This window comes from Homo sapiens, chromosome 3 (genome assembly GCF_000001405.40).
Source record: "Homo sapiens chromosome 3, GRCh38.p14 Primary Assembly".
NCBI lineage: Eukaryota > Metazoa > Chordata > Mammalia > Primates > Hominidae > Homo > Homo sapiens.
This window is the reverse complement of record NC_000003.12, coordinates 134,406,555-134,429,815: the sequence shown is the minus strand read 5'-3', so window position 1 is coordinate 134,429,815 and position 23,261 is coordinate 134,406,555. Positions and strand designations below refer to the sequence as shown.

Sequence of the window (23,261 nt, the reverse complement as noted above, 5' to 3'; positions counted from 1 at the left end):
CTTGGTGTGCGGACCGTGGACAGTGATGAGAGAAGATGATGTCTGTGCCTGCATTCCTGACATGATTGTATTCCCCCAGCTTGCCTGCTTTTTCAGTAGGACCAACATCCCATGTCTTCTGTGAGCTTCTCTGTAGAACCTAGTGGGAGAGGCCCTCTGGGTGACCAGGGCTTGGCACCTTTCTTTGGTGATGCACAGGTGTTGTCAGGCTCCACTTGTTAGGGCAGATCAAGACCAGGTAGGTTCCAGCTGCCATGTGAAGAGACGCATGCAGATTAGACATGAGGCAGGACTTCCTAGCAGTGAAGGTTAATGGATAAAGGACTATTAAAGGGCAATGGTGGCAGACAGCTTTCGCCTTGTTCTGAGCACAGGTGAAAACCCACCTCTCTAATGGTTTGAATGTTTACCTACTTCTACCAAATATTGAGGAGCTATTATTGCCTCACGCTGTGCTGAACATTTTACAAATGCCATCTCTAACCCTTAAAACAACTGAATAAGCACAGATTGTTGCAATTGTCCTCTTGTTATTGATGAGGAAATGAGGCTCAGAGAGTGATTTTTCCGAGGTCACACAGCTAGTGACAGATCCAGGGAACAAATTCAAGTCTTTCTGGCTCCAAAGCCCAAGCTCCTTCTACTGCATAAAATTATCTGCAGGCTATTTGCTGAATTCCTTGGGATATTTCTGTTTCCTTCGGTAAGTTGCCACCTCATGCTGGAGGGGCTGCTGTGTTTCTGTAATCCCAGGGTTTGCTGGCTTGGAGGGAGGCAGTCAGCAGTCTCCTTCTGAGCCATGCTAGCCATTAAAAGAGCACAAGGCTTTCCTCCAGCTGCTACTTTGTCCATCCTCACAAACTCTCAACACACTGATCCAAGGCTGATTCTACCCACTGTACAGTAAGGGAAACTGAAGCACCTGCCCACTGTCACCACCGCTGGCTTCTGGTGTCTTCCCATCCAGGTCCACCGTGGGACTTCCTGGTCCTGAGCCTCCCCTGCCTCACCAGCTTTCACCGTGTGGGCTGTGGCTGATAGTTGGGGGATCAGAGCCCAAATGCTCCACAAGCAGAAACTCATAACTTCCCTGCTGGGGCTCGGGGGACCCAGTTCTCCACCCTCCCTTTCCTAAGAATTGTTCTCAGGGGAAAGCTCTGAATCCTCACAGTGGCTTCCCAGGCCCTGCCTGATCTGAATCCTGCCTCTTGCTTTACTCACCTCTCCTGGACCACACCAACCACGCTGTCTGTCAATGTCCCAAAGCTCTCAGCTTCTTCTGTTTCTTCTACTTGAAATACTCCTCCCTGGTGAACTTTCTACCCTCTCAATCTCCTCTTACATGGACTTTATTTATTTATTTATTTTGAGATGAATTTTCACTCTTGTTGCCCAGGCTGGAGTCTAATGCTGCGATTTTGGCTCACTGCAACTTCCATTTCCCAGGTTCAAGCGATTCTCCTGCCTCAGCCTGCTGAGTAGCTGGGATTACAGGCATGCACCACCATGCCTGGCTAATTTTTTGTATTTTTAGTAGAAATGGGATTTCACCATGTTAGTCAGGCTGGTCTTGAACTCTTGACCTCAGGTGATCCACCCACCTCAGCCTCCCGAAGTGCTGGGATTACAGGTGTGAACCACTGTGCCCAGCCCTTCTTACGGGGACTTTCCTCAGGGAAGTCCTCCCTGGCCCTCCAGATCCTGCCAGGACCCCCGTTAGATACATTCAGAGCCCCCTGAACTATGCATTCATCATTCACAGCAAATTGCAGGCAATTATTTGTGTGATTGTTTAGTGTCCCCCTGCCCCAGACTACAGGGTGTGTGAAGACAGGGACTGGAAGGAAGGCACAGGCATGTGTCTTATCCATCACCATGACTCCAGTCCACAGTACCTGGCACGGAGTGGCTGCTCGATAAATATTTGACAGATGAATATCGACATGCTAGAAAGGAGGGAGGGAGGGAGGGAGGGGAGGGTAATCAGCCTCTGAAATCCCACGAGAATTTGGTTTGAAAGTTGCACCATGTCCTTTGAACTCCAGTGCTCACTAGCTCATTTTGCTGTAGAAATGTCAATGGCAAAGCCAGCAACCCTTTGAGGCCACTTAGGGGAGAAAACATATCACGGCAGGACAGTCAGAGGAAGCTGTTCCCAGGAATGTTGAGACTCCTACTCTGCGGGTCCCTGACTCACTTCCCAGACACGTCTGTGACGTTGGCCTCAGTCAAGGTGCTCATCACTCACAGGCGTGACTCCGTTGGACCCTGCAGTCCCAGATGACTCAGTCTCCACTCCAGCCAGACCTCCCGCTGTCTCCTGTGGCCTGCCAGCTGGGCTCCGAGGCCCTGACACTGCACGTGTGGAGGGCTGAGGTCGCCATCTCCACCACCACTGTCTCAGCCCTGCCCTCAGACCTCAGTCACTGTGGACTTTCTCTCCTTCCCCAAGAATGCTTCATTTGTCACCTCTTTCTTGAGGGAGGACAGGGAGGGACCAGGAAGTCAAATTCTACTCCTCTGATCATCCTGCCCCTCTTTCATTTCTAGGAGCCAGCCAAGGAGATGTATTTGCCCTCAGACCTCCTTGTGACCCCTTCAGGGAGGCCCCCAGGTGAGGCAGGCCTGCCCTCCATGGTAGAGTCTGAGCTTCACCATGAGTCTCACTCACCCCAGGGAATCTTGGAAACACTGAGGGAGGCTGTGAGAAAGGTTGGGATGAAGCACGGTGTCAGAGGCAGCCGCAGTGAAACTCCCGCTTGCTCATCGCTGTGGATGACCAGAAGTGGCTGTGCGTCCAGACCCGTCTACCCACTTAACCACCAGCCTGCAAAGTCAGGCCTGATGCAGCTGGAGCAGCTCAGTGTAGGCAGGGATGCAACCACAGGTCTCGGGTCAGAGAGGCTGCTCCATCCCTCACATCCCTGGGATGGTGCTTTCACCATCCTGTTTTTCTCTTATCCCAGGCATCTTTGCCTGGGAAAGTCCTTTAGAAATCCACAGCTGGCTTTTCCCAGAAGGCTGCCTGCAGGCACTCAGCAGTAAAGGGCTCTGTGTTCCAGCTAGAGTGAGCAGCCCCAGCTTTGACCTGGGTGCAATGCAGCCTGTGGGCTTCCCAGGATGCTCCCACAGGCGTCAGTGACTTGCGAACCTACTGGCCAAAGTATGGTCCCTGGAGCATCATATGGGACTACTGTACATGACTGACACCCGGAGGAAGGCTAATGTAGGCCAGCCTCCTCATTTAACAAATGGGTAAACTGAGGCCTAGGTCACACTGGCAGTGAAAGTGTGAGCTGAACCTGAAAGAAGGCCTTGTCTTTCCAAGGTGGGAGGTCTCCCTGTGAGCTTACTGAGTTAGGAGTCTCTGTCTTATCACCTCTATGTAGTCTCCAGTGCCAGCACCCAGCCTTGCTGAGAGATGAGTTTTAAGGGCCTGCCTCAGAGAGAGCTTAGAGGGGGCCCCCAAAAGAAGAAAAAGGTAAAAGGGAGGCTTTGCCATAGAAGGAAGGCTGCTTTAGGCTCTTCTCAGACAAAGTAAGCTATTCCTCTGAAACCCCAAGCAGGAGCTAATCAAGGACATTCCTTAACTTGAACTATTGTTTGTTTGTTTTTGGGACAGTGGTTCACTCTGTCACCCAGGCTGGAGTGCAGTGGCACTATCATGGCTCACTGTAGCCTTGACCTCCCAGGCTCAAACGATCCTCCCACCTCCTCCTGAGCAACGGGGACTACAGGCACGTGCCACCATGCCTGGCTAAATTTTTTATTATTTTTTGTAGAGATGGGGCCTCACTATGTAGCCCAGGCTGGTCTCAAACTCCTGGGCTCAAAGATCCTTCCACCTCGTCCTCCCAAAGTGCGGGGATTATAGGTGTGAGCCACTGCACCTGGCTTTAACCTGAACTCTTAACAGACTAGACAAGCAACTCACACCGAGAGCTATCCATACTTAAGCAAGAGAGTAAAATGGGACAGAGCACATATATATACAAATACGATGAGCCAGGCGTGGCGGCTCACGTCTGTAATCCCAGCACTTTGGGAGGCCAAGGTGGACAGATCACCTGAGGCCAGGAGTTTGAGACTAGCCTGACCAATATGGTGAAACACTGTCTGTACTAAAAATACAAAAATTAGCTGGGTGTGGTGGTGTACGCCTGTAATCCCAGCTACTCGGGAGGCTGAGGCAGGAGAATCTCTTGAACCTGGGAGATGGAGGTTGCAGTGAGCCGAGATCGCACCATTGCACTCCAGACTGGGCAACAAGAGTGAAACTCTGTCTCAAAAAAAAAAAATAATGATGTACAGCTTAAATTTTCTTTCCTTGTCTTTAAAATACACACACACACACACACACACACACAGAGGTTTCTTTATATTTGGGAAATTTTTTTATACTCTCTGGTGGGTAAAACAAATTAATGATGTTATATTTCATTATTGCAAATAACTTTGGAAGAGAGGATTGATCCTTGATCGCTGGTGTGGTGTTTTCAGAAAATCTTTCCATTTTCTTAACTGAAAGCTGTGTCTCTCCCCAGAGGGCAGGGAATGGGCAAGGCCCCAGGAAGGAAGCACCTGCCCTCACACCGAAAGGAATGTCTCAGCACTGCCCGGTGTGCATTTGCTTCCTTGCCGTCCCTCCTGCCATTACTACACTTCTTACTATGGCAGAGGGCCTACTGTCCCTGAGTGCTCAGTGCCAGGCCCAGGATCTTCAAGAGACAGCGTGAGAAGGCATGCAGCATAGAAGGGTGGATTGCCGGGTAGAACCGTGAGGCCCTCAGAGGGGATGTGGGAAGCCTGGGAGTAGCAATGGGCATTGAGTTACGTAGGGAAGATGGAAATAAGAAATATAGGCAAGAAGAGAAAGAAATTAGCATTTTTTGAGCACCTACTAAGTGCCAGGCAACATACAACAAGAGGAATCAATTACATGGGGCCCGGTAATTTACCAGGCACTTTCCTACAATCTCTCTCCCTCTCTCTGTCCCATTTTCCATAACGCTTTTCACCTCTGAGTGTCAGATTATATATGCATCTACTGATTTACTTGTTAACTGTCTGCTCCAATGGAATGTAAATTCACAATGATATTTCTGTAGGTCTAATGTACTGCTGAGCCTAGCACATAGCAGTTTAGAGTTTAGTCAACAGTCATTCAGTGAATAGATAAATAAAATCATCATGATAACTTTTTTGAGAGGGATCTTCTTCCACTTCTTCCCTCCATGTCATCTGCCTTATCCATGAACATTATTTCATCTGGTCTTTACCACACTATTGTAAAGGTAAGTTCTCTTTTTTAGAGTGAGGAGGTTTGGGCTCCGAGAGGGCAAGTGTCTTGCTCAAGGTCACTCAGCAAGTAACTGTCAGAGATCAGATTTGAACCCAGGACTCTCTGCCATCTTTCCCCACAAAGAGAGAGAGCAGTTCAAGGACATGCTGAGAAGCAAGGGCAGATGATACCCACTGTTACAGCTGCCCCTAGACAGATCCCAATGCTCTGCAGTGGTGAGGAAGAGTGTGCCAGCAGGACCTGAGGATCTGGGGCAGTCCCTGAGCCCTTGAGCTCCAGCCTTCTCATCTGTAAGATGAAGGCTTCAACTAGATGAAGGCTGAAATCCCTTGCAACTCTGAGATGCTAAAACATGATCTTCTTTGTGATCATGGACCTGAGCCAGAGGACTTGTGCACTGAATTCCATCTTTCCCCTACGTCTGTATATAGTGCCCAAAGTCCAGCTAGTTCATATGGACCTTTGTCACACAGGGGCATAGTGGAACTGGGGTGGGCTAAACCAGAGGCAGAGAGGCCTGACCACAGTGGGGACAAAGATGAACATTGAGGCAAGGGCAAAGGGGGATTGTATGGGGAAGGAAGACGCAACAGAGAGGGGAGCAGGGGCCAGGCCAGAAGCATTCTGGGTGGCCTCCCTCAAGCCATCCCCATGTCCCTGCAGGTAGCTCTTGCCTCCTCTTCCCTTTCCTGTCATTCTCTCTTTATCACTCTACTGCACTGGACAGAAGACAGAACTGAGTGTATTCCCTTGCTTTTTTCCCCATGCTGGATAGTCCTTGCTCTCCATTTCAGAAGTGAACTGGCTCTACATTTTTCTTTCAAGCCCATTTTTCTTCCATATGGCTTATGTTTCTGCCAATGAACCTGACTGACGCCTTTTCCCTTGGATCAGTATCCTTAGCAGGGTCTCTGGTGTCTAGGGCCCTGTCAGCAGCTCCCTGCATAGTGTGAAGATGCTGTCCCCATGAGAGTGCTTAGCATGAGGCAGCTTCCTTGGGGAACACACCTCTCGCCCACACCTGATGGGTGCACCCTTGAATAGTGCCCTTCACTGCCCACCCTTGCCCTCTGCTCCACCTTTGCTTTGCATGGCAGACTAGGGATTAGGTGACTTGCATTGTGGACTGGGGATCCCTGGGAGCTGAGCCAATGCCATCTGTTGTGGCTGTAATCTGACACCCACATCAGGGGGGGCCTGATGCTGCTCTGAGCCTGGTTGGTGGACATCCCTCTTCCATCAGGCAACACAAAACACCCTCCGTAGGGGCAAACCCCAGCCAGGCAGATGGGACAGAGCCAGATGTGACACCCCACATCACAGTTGACATACTGCTAGCTCCATCCTTGCCCCAGAGTGAGTGGCCTTCTGGAGATGACCAGATGTTTGGGCTCCCAGGGATAATCCCAATTCAAATGGCAGTCCTGAGCCTTCCAAGAACTGGACCCTGAAGGTCAGGACAGTTCAGGGCTGCAGAGGCTTGCCAGGGAGACGTCCACTGTCTGGGGAGAGGAAACAGCTTCCTGGGTGCAGGCTGAGAGGAGAGGGGCCCAGACACACCTGGGAAGGGGCTTCACACAGAGGCAGAGGTAGTGGCAGTGAGGCCCAGGAGACAGTAGTCCTGAGAGCAGAGGTGTCCACAGGCAGAAGTGAGATTAATTAGTACAGGGAAAGTGGCCAGGGCTAGAAAGGATGGCTTTTCTGGGAGAGAAAGGGCCTTGAATGTAGGATCAAGGGACATAGGCTTTTTCTTGCAGGAAGTGGGACACAACCTCATGATTTCCACCCCACCCTCCAGCTTTTCTATTCATCTTCTTAAGAACCCAGGTGTATTAGGCCATTCTTATGTTGCTATAAATAAACATCTCAGGCTAGGTAATTTATACAGAAAGAGGTTTACTTGGCCTATGGTTCTGCAGGCTTTACAGGAAGCATGGTGCTGGCATCTGCTCAGTTTCTAGGGGGACCTCAGGAAGCTTCCAGTAATGGCAGAAGGGGAAAGGGGAGCAGGTGTCTCACATGGAGAGAGCAGGAGCAAGAGAAGGAGAGGGGGAGAGTGCCACACACTTTTAAACAACCTGATCTTGCTAGAAATCATTCTCTATTGTGAGGACAACACCAGGGGGATGGTGCTAGCCCATTGATGAGAAATCCACCCACATGATCCAATCATCTCCCACCAGGTCCCTCCTCCAACACTGGGTATTACATTACAACATGAGATTTGGTGGGGACAAATATCCAAACTGTATCACTAGCTATAGAAAGAACTTACTTGACAACAAAAGAAGTATAGCAAAGGCTTTGTGCCCTTGGGATTCACTGGTCTTACCACATGCCCCATCACCCAGAAGCAGCAGGCCAGATAGGATAGTGGAAGGGCCTGCTGAAAACCCAGTCACAGCTCCAGTTGGGAGAAAACACCCAGCATAGGCTTTGACTCAACAACGAGTATATGATGCTGCTTTCCCCATAGCCAAGATACTGAAGTCTGGGAATCAAGGGCAGAAGTATGAGTGACTCCTCTCACTATTACAGCCAATAATCCATCAGCAATGTTGCTTCCCATCCCAACTTAGAGCCCTGCTGGTTTGGAGGTCTTAGTCCCCAAAGGGAGGGCACTCTACCAGGAGACACAAACACTGATTCCATTAGAATGGAAGATGGGACTGCCATGTGGCCATTTGGGGATCCTTGTGCTACTGAGCCAGCAGGCAGAAAAAGGGGTTACTTTACAGGCTAGGATGACTGATCCTGATTACCAAGGGGAAACTGGGTTATTGCTACACATGGTAGCACTATGGTAAGGGGCACTATGCCTGGAACTCAGAGGATGTCCTAGGGTGCTTCTTGGTATATCTATGTCCATGTCCTATGACTACTGCCCAGAGATGGATACCAGAAAGGTAGGATGTTTTGTATCCTGATTTTGATGGAGGTTGAGTGCATCTTTGTTTTTCTGAAGGATAATTGCATCTTATTATATGGAAGCATAAGACGGTAAAAGTTAATGAAAAATTTCAACAACCAAAAACACATCAGGGCCACTGAGGACTCAGACCACCTAGGCACAAAGGTTTGGGTCAGCCCATCAGGTCAAGAACCCCAGCCATCTGAGACTGTAGCAGCTATGCTTGTGTGTGTGTGCGTGTGTGTATTCCTCCATTCTTCCTCCCATTTTTATTTTATGTGAGGATTGCCATTGGTAGTTACCTGTAAAATTTGGTCTTAGGTTATGAAGTAATTGGGTAGGACTATGACAGAATTAGAGAAATAATTAACATCACCCAGAGGTAGGTTCTATGACTACTACCCAGAGATGGTTACAATAACGGGGGGATGTTTTGTATCCTGATTTTGATAGAGGTTGAGAGCATCTTTGTTCTTATGAAGAACAGAGAGTTGGATCTTATTATATGGAAGCATACAGTTGTAATTGTTATATGGAAGTTGAAGTATTAACAAAAGGGTGTGTATATCGGTGTTCAGTAGCTAAAGAGGTAGACTCTGTTGGTCATTATGTCATTATCTCTCTGCTGCACATTCATCTCCTTATGCTCTTTTTGATGCTGGGAGTAGGACTCCACACACTGCATCTTCCTTTAGCTAACTTGGTCTCTGTTGGGCTTCACTAACAGGAGGTGCTAGATAAAGGTAGAACTTGTTCCTTCCTTTTTGCTTTCTGTCTTAGAAATGGGCCTTGCCCTGTGCAGCAGCATTGGGTTCCAGCCCCCAATTTCTTTACAAATTCCTAGAACCAGCTTCATCTAGGTTCTGATAACCATACCTTCTCTTTGTTCTCCATTAAACTTTTATATCAATGGTGTGTGTGTGTGTGTGTGTGTGTGTCTGAGAGAGAGAGAGAGAGAGAGATTGAGGGAGAGAGAGAGAGGCTCTACTTCCTGGGTTGCAAAATTAAATGGTTGTTTTGTTTTTTTTAATTATAAGTTGTGGTCAAAGAGTTTGGAGAAACCACTGGTCTAGGGATCTTTCTTTGTTTCTTTGCTTTGCTTTTCAGAGATGGGGAAAGTCCTAACAACATCAGTATATTTTATTTTATCAGTCAAATGAGTACTCACTGAGCAGCTATATACCTGCTGGAGATTCAGAGGAAGCATTGCATGCCTCTAAGGAGTTTACACTGTGTCGATGCAGCAGGCAATATGAGAGAGGGGGTGGTGTGTGAGAGGGCAGGTGTAGGCTGGATGAGAAGCTGGATGTTTGGCTGTGCCCACTCAGATGCTACCTTCTTGACATTTTGACAGGTTATGTCAAAGCATAAAACACTGTTTCTTAAAATAATCAGTCAACATACAAAACAGACTCTCATAACCTTTACTCCAGTCCTGACTCTCAACCTACTTAGGGGTGAGGCTCAGGAAAGAATGTCTACGTACTTGGTCTTTTTTTTTAAGCCTAAAGTTTAATGGTTGGATTTTAGGCTGAGTCGAAAGGTCCTCACATCAAAACAACTGCGTGTGAAGCAGCTGCTACAGTTGCAGTCAAAATGGATGCAGGAAAATTCCATGGGCCTTCCCCGTGGCGGCCCCTCACACAAACTCTTACTTTTCCACTCTGCCAACTTGAGGTCAATATGGCTTTAAAAGTGTGGCATCTGTGTCAGCCAGCTCTGGCCTCCCAGGTGAGAGCTAAGTAAACAGGAGTCCTGGGGATGGCAGTTTCTTCACGAGAGGGCCACGGTGGGTTTTTCCAAGGGAATGAAAGGTTGCCTTTGTGCAGAGGGGAGGGGAAGGAGAATCTGCTCTTTCAGGCTGCCTGCTCTCCATGACCTCATCGGTGTTGACTTTCCCACCATTTCATCTTGGAGCCAGAGAGAAGGCAGACAAGGGACTGGTGAATAGTGTCACCTCACTATAGAGTCAGGGAGGCAGGGCAAGTCATGGATGGCCACTTCTTAGGTCAGGTGACAGGGTGCTGAAGGAGGGAGAAGGGCAGCCACAAGACCCTGAAACAAATCTGTCTTCACCCTGGACAAGGCACCCAGGTGTGCCCAGATGACAAATGCCTGTATTATTTTTCTCAGGAGGATCTAACATGAAAATGACACTTTGCCCTGTAATTTTGGCACTTCCTGGAAAACCATAATTACCCACCCCATTATAATTACCCTGCCATCACTCTTCTATTTGGAACACTTGCTTCCGTGAGTTCTATTCTTACATTCCTTCCCTGCCTTGAGAAACAAGACAAAGCACTTTAAATGGTTTCTTGATGGACATTTTTCTCCTCGAAGGACATTTATATATTCCATGCTACCACCTGAACATCTATTTTAACTTTCATATAAATAAGAGTATTTTTCTAAGTGAGTGAAAGGAGAGGAATGAGGAGTTATTTTTCATGACCAGCCAAGAATAGAACCAAATGTTCTGTTCTCATCTATGTCATCTCCTGATTTTGCTTCTTCTTTAAAATGTCTACAAAGAATTCAGCCTTTTCAGGAAGAACCAGCCTGATGTGGCAGAAAGAACACACCATCATCCAGATGTTTGCCTTTGCAGGAAGAACCACACCCTTCTGGGGTTGGTTTATTAATTGAAGAAATAAGAATTAGACAAAATCAACATTTGATTTCTCAGCATTTTCCTGGGTGCTAAAGCTATGCCACCAGGGATTTCAGGTGGCATATGAGCAGGGCATCAAATGACAGTGAAGTAGACACTGAAAGAATTACTTCCTTTGCAACTCTCTTTCCGTCCTTTGATACTATAGGGGAGAAAGTCTCAATTTGGTGCTGGTGGGCCTCTCATATGTTTCTAATGCTTTCTAATCTCCTTTTGTGACAGATAGAGCAGGTCTTAGGTCCTAGCCTCTGCTGGCAGTAGGAGTTGGGATTGAATAACATCATTTTGATTTTATTATTTTAATTTTTTTCTTCTACCTTTTATTTATTTTTGGTACTACTGGTTTTCTACTTACAGTGAAAATATAGTTTCCTTTTTAGTTTTTATTTTTTCATTAAAAAGTGTGTTCATTTTTTCACTGGGAGAGAAGAGCAAAAATTGGGGTGGAAAGTGTGTTTTAAGTAAACATCTCTGGATTAACCTTCCCAGATATTGGAAGAGTCAAACCAAAGAAACATATGGTACCTGCAAATGTTGTATTAAAGGTGATCAAATTGGGCATGTGCTCTGCAAATGAACTCTCACTTAAACAGCAGAAATAAACTGAGTACAGATAAACACCTCTGACTATTAGCAGAGAATTGGAGGGGTTTCTTTTCTTTATATAAAAAATTACGGTGGTTTTCTTTGGCTTAAACAAATTTATACATATAAACTTCGGCACTCTTTGCTCTCACAAAAAAATGAAATCATGTTGTACACACTATCCTGCATTTTGCTTTATTCATTCAAAAAAAACTCTCAGAAATCTTCCAAGTCCACTGCTATGGCTCTTATTCATCTTTAGAAGCCATATGTACCGTGTATATACTATGGTGTAGATGTATCACAATTACTTCAACCATCCTTCCTATGTATCATGCATTCACACTGATTCTGATTCTTGCCCTTCATAAACAATGCTGCTAGAAACATTCTCACATGTATGCCTTGACACATTCATTGTTCAATTTCTAAGTGATAGATCCTCAGGAATGGGATTTCTGGTCAAAGGGGAACTGTATTTTTATTTTAATAGATGTTCATAGATTATATTCCCAAAAACCTATAGCAAGTCACATTTCCACCAGGTCCGTAGGATAGTGCCTCTTTCCTCAACCTCCTCCAGCAATCCATGCTATACCTTCTTAATTTTTGCTCGTCAAATGAGCAAAAGTAAGATTTTATTTTTTAGTTTAGTTTGCGTTACCTTGATGGTTGGTGTTTTTCAACATTTTCTCTTTTGTTTCTTGGTCATTCTAAACTTCCTCTTCATATCCTTTGCCCATTTTTTTTCTTTTGGGTCATCTTTTACTTATCAATTTGTAAAAGCGCTTAGTATATTGTAGATATGACTCTTTGGCAATTATATTAATTTTTTTTTTTTGAGACGGAATTTAGCTCTTGTTGCCCAGGTTGGAGTGCAATGGCACTGTATTTTGGCTCACCACAACCTCTGCCTCCTGGGTTCAAGCTATTCTGCCTCAGCCTCCCGAGTAGCTGGGACTACAGGCATGTACCACCACACCCAGCTAATTTTGTATTTTTAGTAGAGATGGGGTTCCTCCATGTTGGTCAGGCTGTTCTCAAACTCCTGACCTCAGGTGATCCGCCTGCCTCGGCCTCCCAAAGTGTTGGGATTACAGGTATGAGCCACCGCGCCTGGCCGTTTATTTTTGTTGTTTTATTTTGTTTTTTTGAGACAGAGTCTCACTCTGTCACCCAGGCTGGAGTGCAGTGGCACAATCTTGGCTCACTGCAACCTCCACCTCCCAGGTTCAAGCAATTCTTCTGCCTCAGCCTCCCGAGTAGCTGGGATTACAGGTGCCTGCCACCACACCCAGCTAATTTTTGTATTTTACTAGAGACGGGGTTTCACCATGTTGGCCAGGCTGGTCTTGAACTCCTGGCCTTGTGATCCACCTTCCTCAGCCTCCCAAACTATTGGGATTACAGGTGTGAGCCACCGTGCCTGGCTATGTTAAATTTTTTTAAGAATATATTGGAATAATCTGTTATTCGAAGTACTTTAGCCATGCAAAAGCTTTACATTCTATGTACAGTCAAATATGTCTATCTTTTCTAGCTAGTGCTGGTTAAGAAGGACTATCCTAAATTGTATGAAGAGTGATCTAGATTTTTTTGCAGGAATTTCTTTGCTTTGTATGATCAATCTAAATTTATTTTTTTGATACGATAGAAGAAGTACTGTACAACTTTTATTTTTTCCAGATAGATAGCCTGTAGTGCCAATAACCTATTTCATATCCCACTGAATAAATAATAAATATATTCATAATAAATTCTCGTATAATCTGGAATCTATTCATAGACTGCCTGCCTAATCTGGTCCACTTTTCTGTGTCTATTCCTATGCCAATACCATAGTAATTTGACTACACTGACTTTGTATTACATTTTGTTACCTGCTAAAGATACCTCACCTATTTATATACAGTTTAATCTTTATAATCATTAAAAGCATTTATCCCATTCAAATATTCCTATGAAAAATTAACCATTAAATTTATATTTTAATGATGGAGAATTAATAGTTTACGATATTGCCATCCCAAACAAGAATATGTTATATTTTTCAATAAGATTTTATAGTTTTCTACAAATACACTGTGTGTGTGTTGTTTTCTTTTGCTTGCTTTTTTTTTTTTTTTGAGATGGAGTTTCGCTCTTGTTGCCCAGGCTGGAGTGCAATGGCGCGATCTCGTCTCACCGCAACCTCCGCCTCCCAGGTTCAAGCAATTCTCCTGCCTCAGCCTCCCAAGTAGCTGGGATTACAAGCATGTGCCACCATGCCCGGCTGATTTTGCACTTTTAGTAGAAATGGGGTTTCTCTATGTTGGTCAGGCTGGTCTCGAACTCCCGACCTCAGGTGGTCTGGCTGCCTCAGCCTCCCAAAGTGCTGGGATTACCGGTGTGAGCCACTGCTCCTGGCCGACTGGGTTTTTTTTATGCTAAATTTATTCTAGGCACCATGTAACATTTGCCACCCTTGTAATGAAAAACATTTTCTGCTTCTATATCTAGATGCTTTTTGTGGAAATAAGGGAAAACGATTTTGACAGATATATTATCTGTCAAGCCATCTTCTAAATTATCTTACTAATTCCAGCAGATTTTTTTCTTTAAAATCTTTTGGATTTTCCGCGTGAACTGTAACATAACCAGAAAAAGATATATAGTTTTAATTTTGTTTATAACAATCATTTAATATTTTCCTATTATTGCATCTGTTAGAACCTCCAAATTGATGTTGGACAGTAGTGGTGAGAGCAGACATCCCTGTCAAGTTCCTAACTTTAATTGAAATTATTTCAGTGTTTCCCTATTTAATAACATTTCCCATTGGATTTTGACAAATAGTCTTTTTAAATATTTAGTTTTCTTTCTACTTCTATTTTAGTATGATTTTTTTAGGATGGCTATTGAATTTTACCAAGTCTTTGCAGTATCCGTTAATATGATCATATGATCTTTCGCCTTTAACTTGCTAATGTAATAAATTATGTTGAATGGAGTTCCTGACATTTTTGCTTAGAAAAAAATCTGTTTGGTCAAAATACTTTTTTAAATATTTTGCTGGTATTTATTTGTTACTTTCTTTGCTAGTGACAAATATTTGTGGACTGCTTACTATATTGTAGGCATTGTTTATATCCACAACAGTGAAAAAAATATAAAATTTCTGACCTCATGAAGCTTACCTTTTAGCAAGCTGCTGTTAAAAAAATTCAGTGACTTTCAACAACAAACCATTTAGTTCTTACTCACAGGTCTGTGGGTCACCTGTCAGTTGTCTGGGCTTAGATTTAATTTTCTAGTGTACTTTTTAGACTTTTTGTTGAATATCATACTTACAGAAAAAGCACAAATCATAAGTGAGGAAACAATTATGTAACCACTACTCAGGTCAAGATAGAGAACATTTCTATTATTTGATAACATATTTATTTAGAGTTTTTGCAATTACATTAAAAAGTAAAGTTTGGTCTTCTGGTTAGACAGGCTACTAAATAGGATTATTGTACAGTTACAGTTCTTTCATTCCCCTGGCCTCCAACTCCCACCTTTGCTGTGGCTTCATTAAGGATGGAGTATACACCCCCAGTCCACTGATAGTTTGTGAGTTGCTTTGGCCAGTGTAATGTGAGCAAACACAACAGATGTCACATTCAGCCTTGGTTTGGCTTGACTTCTTACAGTGTTATCCTTCTCCTTGAGAAGACCATTTCTCTGGAGACAGCATGTGGACCAGAAGTAACCCCAACCTGTAGCCTGAAGCCAAGTCTAACCAAGCCCAGCCAAGCTTTGGATGATGGACAGACCCGTAGCCTGTGTGAAAAGCCACTGAGATTTTGTATGTTTGTTTGTTTGTTTAAGATTGTTATGTAGCATTCTTGCAGCAGGACCTCACTAATACAGTCAGCTTTATTAAATGAATTGGAAACATTCTCTCTTTTTCAATGGGCTGATTTTCTTTAAAGATCAAAAAGAAAAACACAAAAACTCAGCCATTAACCCATCTGATACTAGTATGTTCTTCAGTAGTAGATATTTTACCACATTTCCTATCATGGTAATTGGTAGGAATTGGTCTTTTCAAATTTTATACTTTTTCTAGGACCAATTTTGGAAATTTGTTTCCAGAAAATTATCCATTTTCTCTAAGTTTTTAAATTTGTTATTGAAAACTTATGTGTAATATTCTTTATAATTATTTTATTTTATTTAATTTTTTTTGAGATAGAGTCTCACTGTATTGCCCAGGCTGGGGTGAAGTGGCATACTGTTGGCTCACTCCAACCTCTGCCTCTCAGGTTCAAGCAATTCTTCTGCCTCAGCCTCCTGAGTACTGGGATTATAGGTGTGCACCATCATGCCTGGCTAATTTTTGTATTTTTAGCAGAGACAGGGTTTCACCATGTTGGTCAGGCTGGTCTCGAACTCCCGACCTCAGGTGATCTGCCCACCTCAGCCTCCCAAAGTGCTGGGATTACAGGTGTGAGCCACAGTGCCCAGCCCCAATATTCTTTATAATTATTTTAATCTCATCTGCAGTTATGTTTCCTTTCTCCTTTCTAGTCATGGTTTTGCACTCTCCTTCCTTTGGTCTAAGGATTAAGATCAAGTTTGTGAAAAGATTTATTTCATTCACGTTTTCAAAAAACCCATTCTGAAGTTTCTTTGTCCTTTGATCATTTTTTTGTTTGTTTCTACTTTACTGATTTCAATTTTGATCTTTTTTAATTCCCTTTTTCTTGTTTCTTTTCTCTTTACAACTAAGATCCAGTTTTTTATTTCTCTTGGTTTATTTTGCTTTTCTAATTAATAACATTAATATTTAGTTCCTTTATTTTTCATTTTTCTTCTTAAATAATGAAGGCACTTTAAGTTATAAAATTTCCTGTAAGTGAAGCTTTCATTGTGTTCTACTGGTTTTGGTATGATTGAAATAGATCATTGCACTCTAGATAGTTTATAATATAACTTTCAATTGTTTTTACCCATTATTTGTGTGTGTGTGTGTGTGTGTGTGTGTGTGTGTGTGTGTGTAGGTATGAGCCACTACACCTGGTTGTCATACTTTTAACTTTTTGAAAATTATACTTATTCATGAAGAGGAATCAACTAATATATTTAATTACCTCAATTCAATAGCCAAATAGAGTCTTCATTTTTTGGGTATATATAATATATATATACATACATATATATACACACAACAAATATTGGAAATATTGGGTAAAAAAATATATATATATATATATATATAAATTGCAGATAAAAATTGAGAGAACAGTACAGAGTCCCTATATACCCTCTGCTCCATCCCATCCCTGCCCCGCCAAGGCTGTCTCCACCACTGTCAACATCCCACACCAAAGTGCTACATTTGTTACAATCTCTGAACCCACATTGACACATCATTATCATCCAAAGTCCCTAGTTTACATTAGGGTTCACTCTTGGTGTTGTATATTCTATGAGTTTGGACAAATGTGTAATGACATGCATCACCATTATGGTGTCATACACAATAGTTCACTGCCCTAAAAATCCTCTGTACTCTGCCTATTCATCCCTCCCTCCCCTCAACCCCTAGGAACCACTGGTCTTTTCATTGTCTCCAGTTTTGCCTTTCTAGAACGCCAAATAATTGGAATCATACAGTACTTAGTCTTTTCAGATGGCCTTCTTTCACTTAGAAATATGCATTTAAGATTCTTTCATGTGTTTTCTTGGCTTAATGGGTCATTTATTTTTAGCATGAATAGTATTCCACTTTCTGGATGTATCACAGTTTATTTATGCATTCACCTACTGAAGGACAAGTTGTTTGCTCTCGAATTTTATCAATCATGAATAAAGCTGCTATAAACATCCATGTGGCAGTTCTTGAGTGCACAGAAGTTTTTAACTCATCTGGGTAAATACTAAGTTACTGAATTGTATGGCAAGAGTATGTTTAGTTTTTTGAGAAACCGCCAAATTCTTCCAAAGTAGCTGTACCATTTTCCATTCCTGCCAGCAATGAATAAGAGAGTTCCTGTTAGTCCACATCCTCACCAGTATTTGTGTTGTCGGTGTTCTGGATTTTGGCCTTTCTAACAGTTACCTTGTAGCTGTTTTAATTTGCAGTTCCCTGATGACATACAAACGTTTTCAAAGAGCATGTTTCCTAATTTTCTGATGGATTTGATTTTTTGGTCACCCCTTAACTACTTATGACTGATTTTATTGAATTATGATCAGAGAATGTAGTTCATAAAACAGGTACTTAATAAAATGTGTTAAAGTTTTCATCAAGTACAAGCTAAGTTTTTGCAATTGTTCCATGAATATATACAATTTACTCAAAAAAATGAAGATTCTGTTTGGCTATTGAATTGAGGAATTGAATATATTAGTTGATTCCTCTTTATGAATAAGTATAATTTTCAAAAAGTTAAAAGTATGACAGCCAGGTGTAGTGGCACATACCTATAGTCCCAGCTACTTGGAGGCCAAAGCAGGAGGATCACTTAAGCCTAGGAATTCAAGGCTGCAGTGAGCTGTGATTGCACCACTGAACTCCAGCCTGGGTGACAGAGCAAGACTTGATCTCCAAAAAAAAGAAAGAAAGAAAGATGATTCAAAGGAAATTTGAGGACTGGATATTTAAAGGAAATTTAATGAAGGAATGTTGCAGTAAGATTGTCTGATTAGGTACAAAACTGGTTAATGTTCTATAAGGCAATAAATCTTAACCTTTAAGGTTATCTTTTCTACAAGTCAGAAATTATTTGAATATTTACTAGACAAAAATATACAGGTTAAAATGTAACCATTCTATGTGTAAGATCTTTAATCAATAATAAGGAATGGGTTGACTAAAGTACATTCACCCTAAATCACTAAATATCCTTTGGATGGCTCAGTGCCCCATATGACTTTGGAAAGACATGATAACCAAATGTCTGCCTTATTTTTAAGTTTTGGATAATTTTTTGACAATGCCTTATCAATTTTTCAATCTGATCCCTTTAGTTATGAGAATTGTATTAAAATTCTCTCTATATATCTGTGTTTTTATCACACTTAGTAGTCGTATCTTTTTTTATCTATTTAGCTGCTTGCTATGCTGTCTGTTGCACACCAGTTTATGTTTATTATGCTCTATTCATGTCACAATTTCCCTCCTTAATCTTTTTATGCTTTTAGCCTTAAATTCCAACTTGTCTGATTAATATTGCCGATTAATTGTCTATTACATTCTTTTGTCTAAAAAAAGTTATCAAAAAGATACCTCTTTATAGACACTCTTATTTTTAACCATTTTATCATCACATCGTGTTAGATATTTCTTGTAAACATTATAAGGCCTTAAAAAAACTGAAGTATTTAGTTCAGCCACATTTAAGGACGTAGTTAATTTACTGAATAATCTTCCTTCCATCCTACTTTATGTGTATTAAGACAGCCGCTTGTCATTATTCACAGCGGTTTTGTTTTACAGAGTCACTGAAAATGCTAAATAGTGAATGTTGAACCATTCCTCCTAGGAGAAATAGAGGGTTAGGTTTCTGTGACTCTCTGGGTTACATTTCATCAACCAATTAATGCGTAACTTTGTCGTGGGTGTGTTTCTGCTTAAAGACACCTTATTTAATATATATCATTGACTTGTTAACATTGAACTCACAGCCAACAGCACTGCAACATATGCCTGAACAAAGTTTGTCTAACATGTGTGTTTTCTCCACGTGGCTCATCACAGCCTCTTGCACACAGGAACACTAGACAGCACCTCAGCACTACACTTGGGGGCCATTTTTAAGGAGATGTGAAAGTCAAAATAAAACATAGCAATGAATCTTTAAATTCAGCGTTTTATTTAGGAAGCACAGAATTGCAATTCAGAGCATACGCACAGACTGGGATGGCCTTCAGTATGTCTGAAAAACAAACGGAAGTTTGGGGGTCTTACTAGAAAAAGCCATGATACCTACTGTTTTGAAAACAGCTCATTGCTAGAGAAGCTTTTGGGAACTGGCAAGCTCTGATGGGTGAGTGAAGGAGGCAGATAAAACAAATCTTTGAGTCAAGACAGGTTGTTTCAGCAGCTACTAGGTAAAACTCGTCTTAGAGTTACTACAGGCTATTTCAGCAACTGGACTTGCAGCAAATTCAACTATTAGAGCTGGTGCTATGTGCAATTATTAGTGCTTTTCCCCCCAGCCCCTCAACGCTGATGTATTAAGTTGGTGCAAAAGTAATTGCTGCTTTAGCCATTAAAAGTGATGGCAAAAACAGCAATTATTTTTGCACCAACCTAATAGTTGCATATGACAAGAGTGACTCAGTTTATATAATCAATTTTCACAGAAGTCACCAGCAAAAAACACACAAAGATGACACTAAGCAGTCTGAGAAAAGAACTGTCATTTACAGCATGAGAAGTGAAACAAGAAGGTGGAGCATTGCCTTGTTCAACCTCAGCTGGGAAAGTGCCTGTTGAGTGACTCAAATTTTTCGCTGCTCTTGTGTATGTCCACAAATGATCATGAGTGCTCTCCAAGTATTGATTTTTAGGGTTACAAATAAAATTTAGTGAGTAGGTGTATTCACAAATGCAGAATCCTAGAATAATAAGGATGGGCAGTAATTGTTTTCTTCCCTCTTTTTGCTTTTTCTTATTTTTGCTGGCTTCTATTTTTCCCCTTGTTAATTTGAAAATTCCATTCTACTTTTCCAGTTTATTCTCGGTTGGTTCATTTATTCTGGGGGAACACCTTTTCTTGAATATTTTCATGAAATAACATTAGCCTCAATATTTTTCTTTTTCCGTAACAAGTGAATCACTTGATCAGGTGTGGTCCTATAGAGTCTATTTCACTGGTCTCTAGTTTCTAGTACTGGAAGGGAAGTCTAACGCCAGTCTGATTCTTTTCTCTTTTTAGGTAAGTTAAAGTAATTATCTGGATGTTGTAACAGTTTTCTCTTTATCCTTAGAGTTTAGAAATAGGTCTAGGTCATTTCTTATCCATTCAGCCTGAAAATCAACAAGTTCTTTCAATCTCCCATCTTTAGTCTCACATCTTTCTTTGCCTCAGGACAATGGTGGTTTTAAAAATTATTGTTATGCTTATTATTTCTTTCATGTCTTCCTTTTTCTCCTTTGGAAGTCTTACCATTCATGCATGTTGGGTCATTAGATCTACCCTGCTAGACTGATCTTTTCCCTAATTTACATCTCTGTATCTTTGTTCTGTGCTTTAAGGTGCCCTTGAGTGCTGACCTTGATTTCCCATCCCAATCATCTCTCTCAATTGTAGTGACCGTTTTCTCTTTCAAGTCATCTGATGAGTTGTTTAGTTGGGAAATCACATTTTTTTTACAGCTTCGTAAAGTCTTTTTTTTTTCTCTATTTACATATCTACAGGGGCTTTTTAAAATTGTTTTTTAAATTCATGTTGTCATCTGTCTCTTTCAGCCACTGTGTCACTGGGTGTGTGTTTTGCTTGTCCCTTCTGACTGCCCTCTCTTTGCCAGCTCACTGGGTTCAGGTCTGAGGATGGGAACACCCTAAAGGACAGATGTTCTATTGAGGAAAAGGAGGGGAAAAGCTCCGTCCTATGTAGAGATGCGGGGATACTGCCCATCTCCTGTGCAGGCACCTGGAAAAGGCTTCTCTGACCTGGGCTCTGTAGGGTCTCCCAACCTCAGGAACTAGGGAACTTAGCCCCCTGGTTCAACAACTTCTTAGTTCTGGGATGGGGCGCAGGGGACCAGGTATCTTCATCTAGTGCAATGTTAACCTTCCATTGGTCTCTGGGGTCCAAGCTCTCTCCAGCACTCACTTCTCAGACTTTACTTTGAGACTCCTCAGTATTTGCAGATCTGATGGGGAAGAACTACCAGTTCTGTTCTTTCTACTGTTTCCGACAACCGTTTATCTTGAGAGGAACAGAAATTCATTTGGAAGTGGAAAGAAAGGAAACCATATTCCAGTTACCATGTCCCCAGAATCACCTCTAAAGTGACTTTTTAAAAATGAAATTTACGTATAAAATTGGATTTATGGAAAAGTATTAATAATATTACAGGTGGTACCTGATGTTACAGAACTCACAAAGGTGATGTTTGAATGACAAAGTCTGAAAACACTGCACCAGAAAAATGTGAAATTTCCCTTCCAACTCTGGTGTTCTATTACTCTTCACAGCAGAGTTACCAGAATCTTCTCCTAACAGGGTGTGACGCATCGCTTTAAAGAAAAAAAGGAGGAATGATAATCATGATTAAACTAGTTAAATGACTGGTTTTAATGACTTCTTCATGGTTATACAAGCCATACCTCTATATCATATGTATAGCATAGGCATGGAGAGACCTCAGAAGAGAGACAGATAATTTAAAAAAAACAAGGAGGCAGGAGTTACCATATAATGTTTTAGAAACAGTCCGGCTGAGCAATTGCAAGGACACAAAGCCATGGGGCTATTAGAGAAAGGCAGGACAGGAATTGCAGCCACGATAAGGGATTCCTTGCAGGAGGCAACCCCTCCATAAAGGCATCTGGGTGAGCGAGGGTCTGGAGCCCAATCTGCCTTTACTAGAGGGTATTACTCCCCAAATAAGAGCCCCGCATGTTTGTTTCCTTTGTTGTGTAGTATTTACACAACAATGTGTGGGTGAGGGGAGGAAGGTCACTGTGGCACTTCTTAAAGGCCCATCTAGCACACCTATTCTTCTCAAAGCCACAGACACACACAGACCTTCAACATTCACAGCCCTGGTCACTCGGGCTGCCATTGGCTCTTCAGCAACACACAGTCTGGCACTTTGTGCCGGGAGGTCTTGCCTCCATCTGCAGTGGACTCGCCCAGTTGCTCAATGTCTCCAGAAGATGCAGATGATTTCCCTAAGGGCCCAACACTACACTTAACTGAGGACTCCCAAGAATGCCTTCCTGGCCTCAGGAAAGCTTCAGGCCAGAGGGATGATCAGAAAGGGCTTGCTTTCAGGCCACCGGCCTTACCAGTTCTGACTCATTTCGTTTAAAATAAAACATCAAGCACAAAGAGGGGATACAGCCCATCACAGTAGTTGTAAAAGCCTGACAACCAGAGGGACGTGGTGAAGGTGAGCCCTCTCCATAGCAGCTCAGGGAGCCCACCGACTGCCCCCCACCCCACCCCTCCTGCCGAGTGGCAGGGCAGGGCTGCAGCTCTCGCTCCCAACTCCGACTCAGGACTCTAAGTGCCTGCCCCGCTTGGGTCTCCCAGACCCGGGTGGCTTATGATATTGAGCTCATCAGTCAACACCAGACGCCACTTCTTTCTAAAGTCTGCTGTGTACCCGATCGCACACTCGGTTTTGGCCCCCGACACGGGCCCAGGGCCCTTGGGGGCTCCGCGCGCAACGGAATGGGCCAGCTTCAGCCTGCGCAGCACAATGGTCCGCCCTCCCCGGCTGGCGCGTGGCCCAGCCCGGGGGGTTTCAGTCGCTTCGGAGAATTCACTTATTGTTTGCAGGGCTCGGCGGCCGCCGCCTGCAGCCGGCGGGCTGCAAATCTATTCACCCTGCAGCCTGGCGTCCGGCGCTGCCGCGGCGCGTCTCCCCCGCGCACCTGCCCGGCGCCCCCTCCCTTCCTGCCCGCCATCTGTCGTCTGAGAGCCATTGTAAGCAGCCGCGCCTGGCGTCCTGGACGACACCCAAGGGGACCCGGGGCTTAGGCCTGGCGAGAGGCAAACAAGGAGGGTTTATTCCAGTCCCGTTTGGAGGTGACCTTAAGCAAAATAGCCAAGTCTGAGGGCATCCGCCTGCTCCCCGGA

General features: G+C 43.3%; 3 annotated features.

The window, feature by feature from the left end:
- Positions 1,710 to 2,909: an enhancer, noted in NCBI's record as "BRD4-independent group 4 enhancer chr3:134145749-134146948 (GRCh37/hg19 assembly coordinates)". NCBI's record gives its function as "activates an origin of replication core promoter dependent on BRD2, P300/CBP, MED14 and CDK7 cofactors, and independent of BRD4, by STARR-seq in HCT116 cells {active_cell/tissue: HCT116}" and the evidence as "EXISTENCE:reporter gene assay evidence [ECO:0000049][PMID:35650434]".
- Positions 1,840 to 2,585: an enhancer, noted in NCBI's record as "H3K4me1 hESC enhancer chr3:134146073-134146818 (GRCh37/hg19 assembly coordinates)". NCBI's record gives its function as "activates a minimal SCP1, AML or CMV promoter by ChIP-STARR-seq in primed H9 embryonic stem cells {active_cell/tissue: H9 hESC(primed)}" and the evidence as "EXISTENCE:reporter gene assay evidence [ECO:0000049][PMID:30033119]".
- Positions 21,869 to 22,574: an enhancer, noted in NCBI's record as "NANOG-H3K27ac-H3K4me1 hESC enhancer chr3:134126084-134126789 (GRCh37/hg19 assembly coordinates)". NCBI's record gives its function as "activates a minimal SCP1, AML or CMV promoter by ChIP-STARR-seq in naive H9 embryonic stem cells {active_cell/tissue: H9 hESC(naive)}" and the evidence as "EXISTENCE:reporter gene assay evidence [ECO:0000049][PMID:30033119]".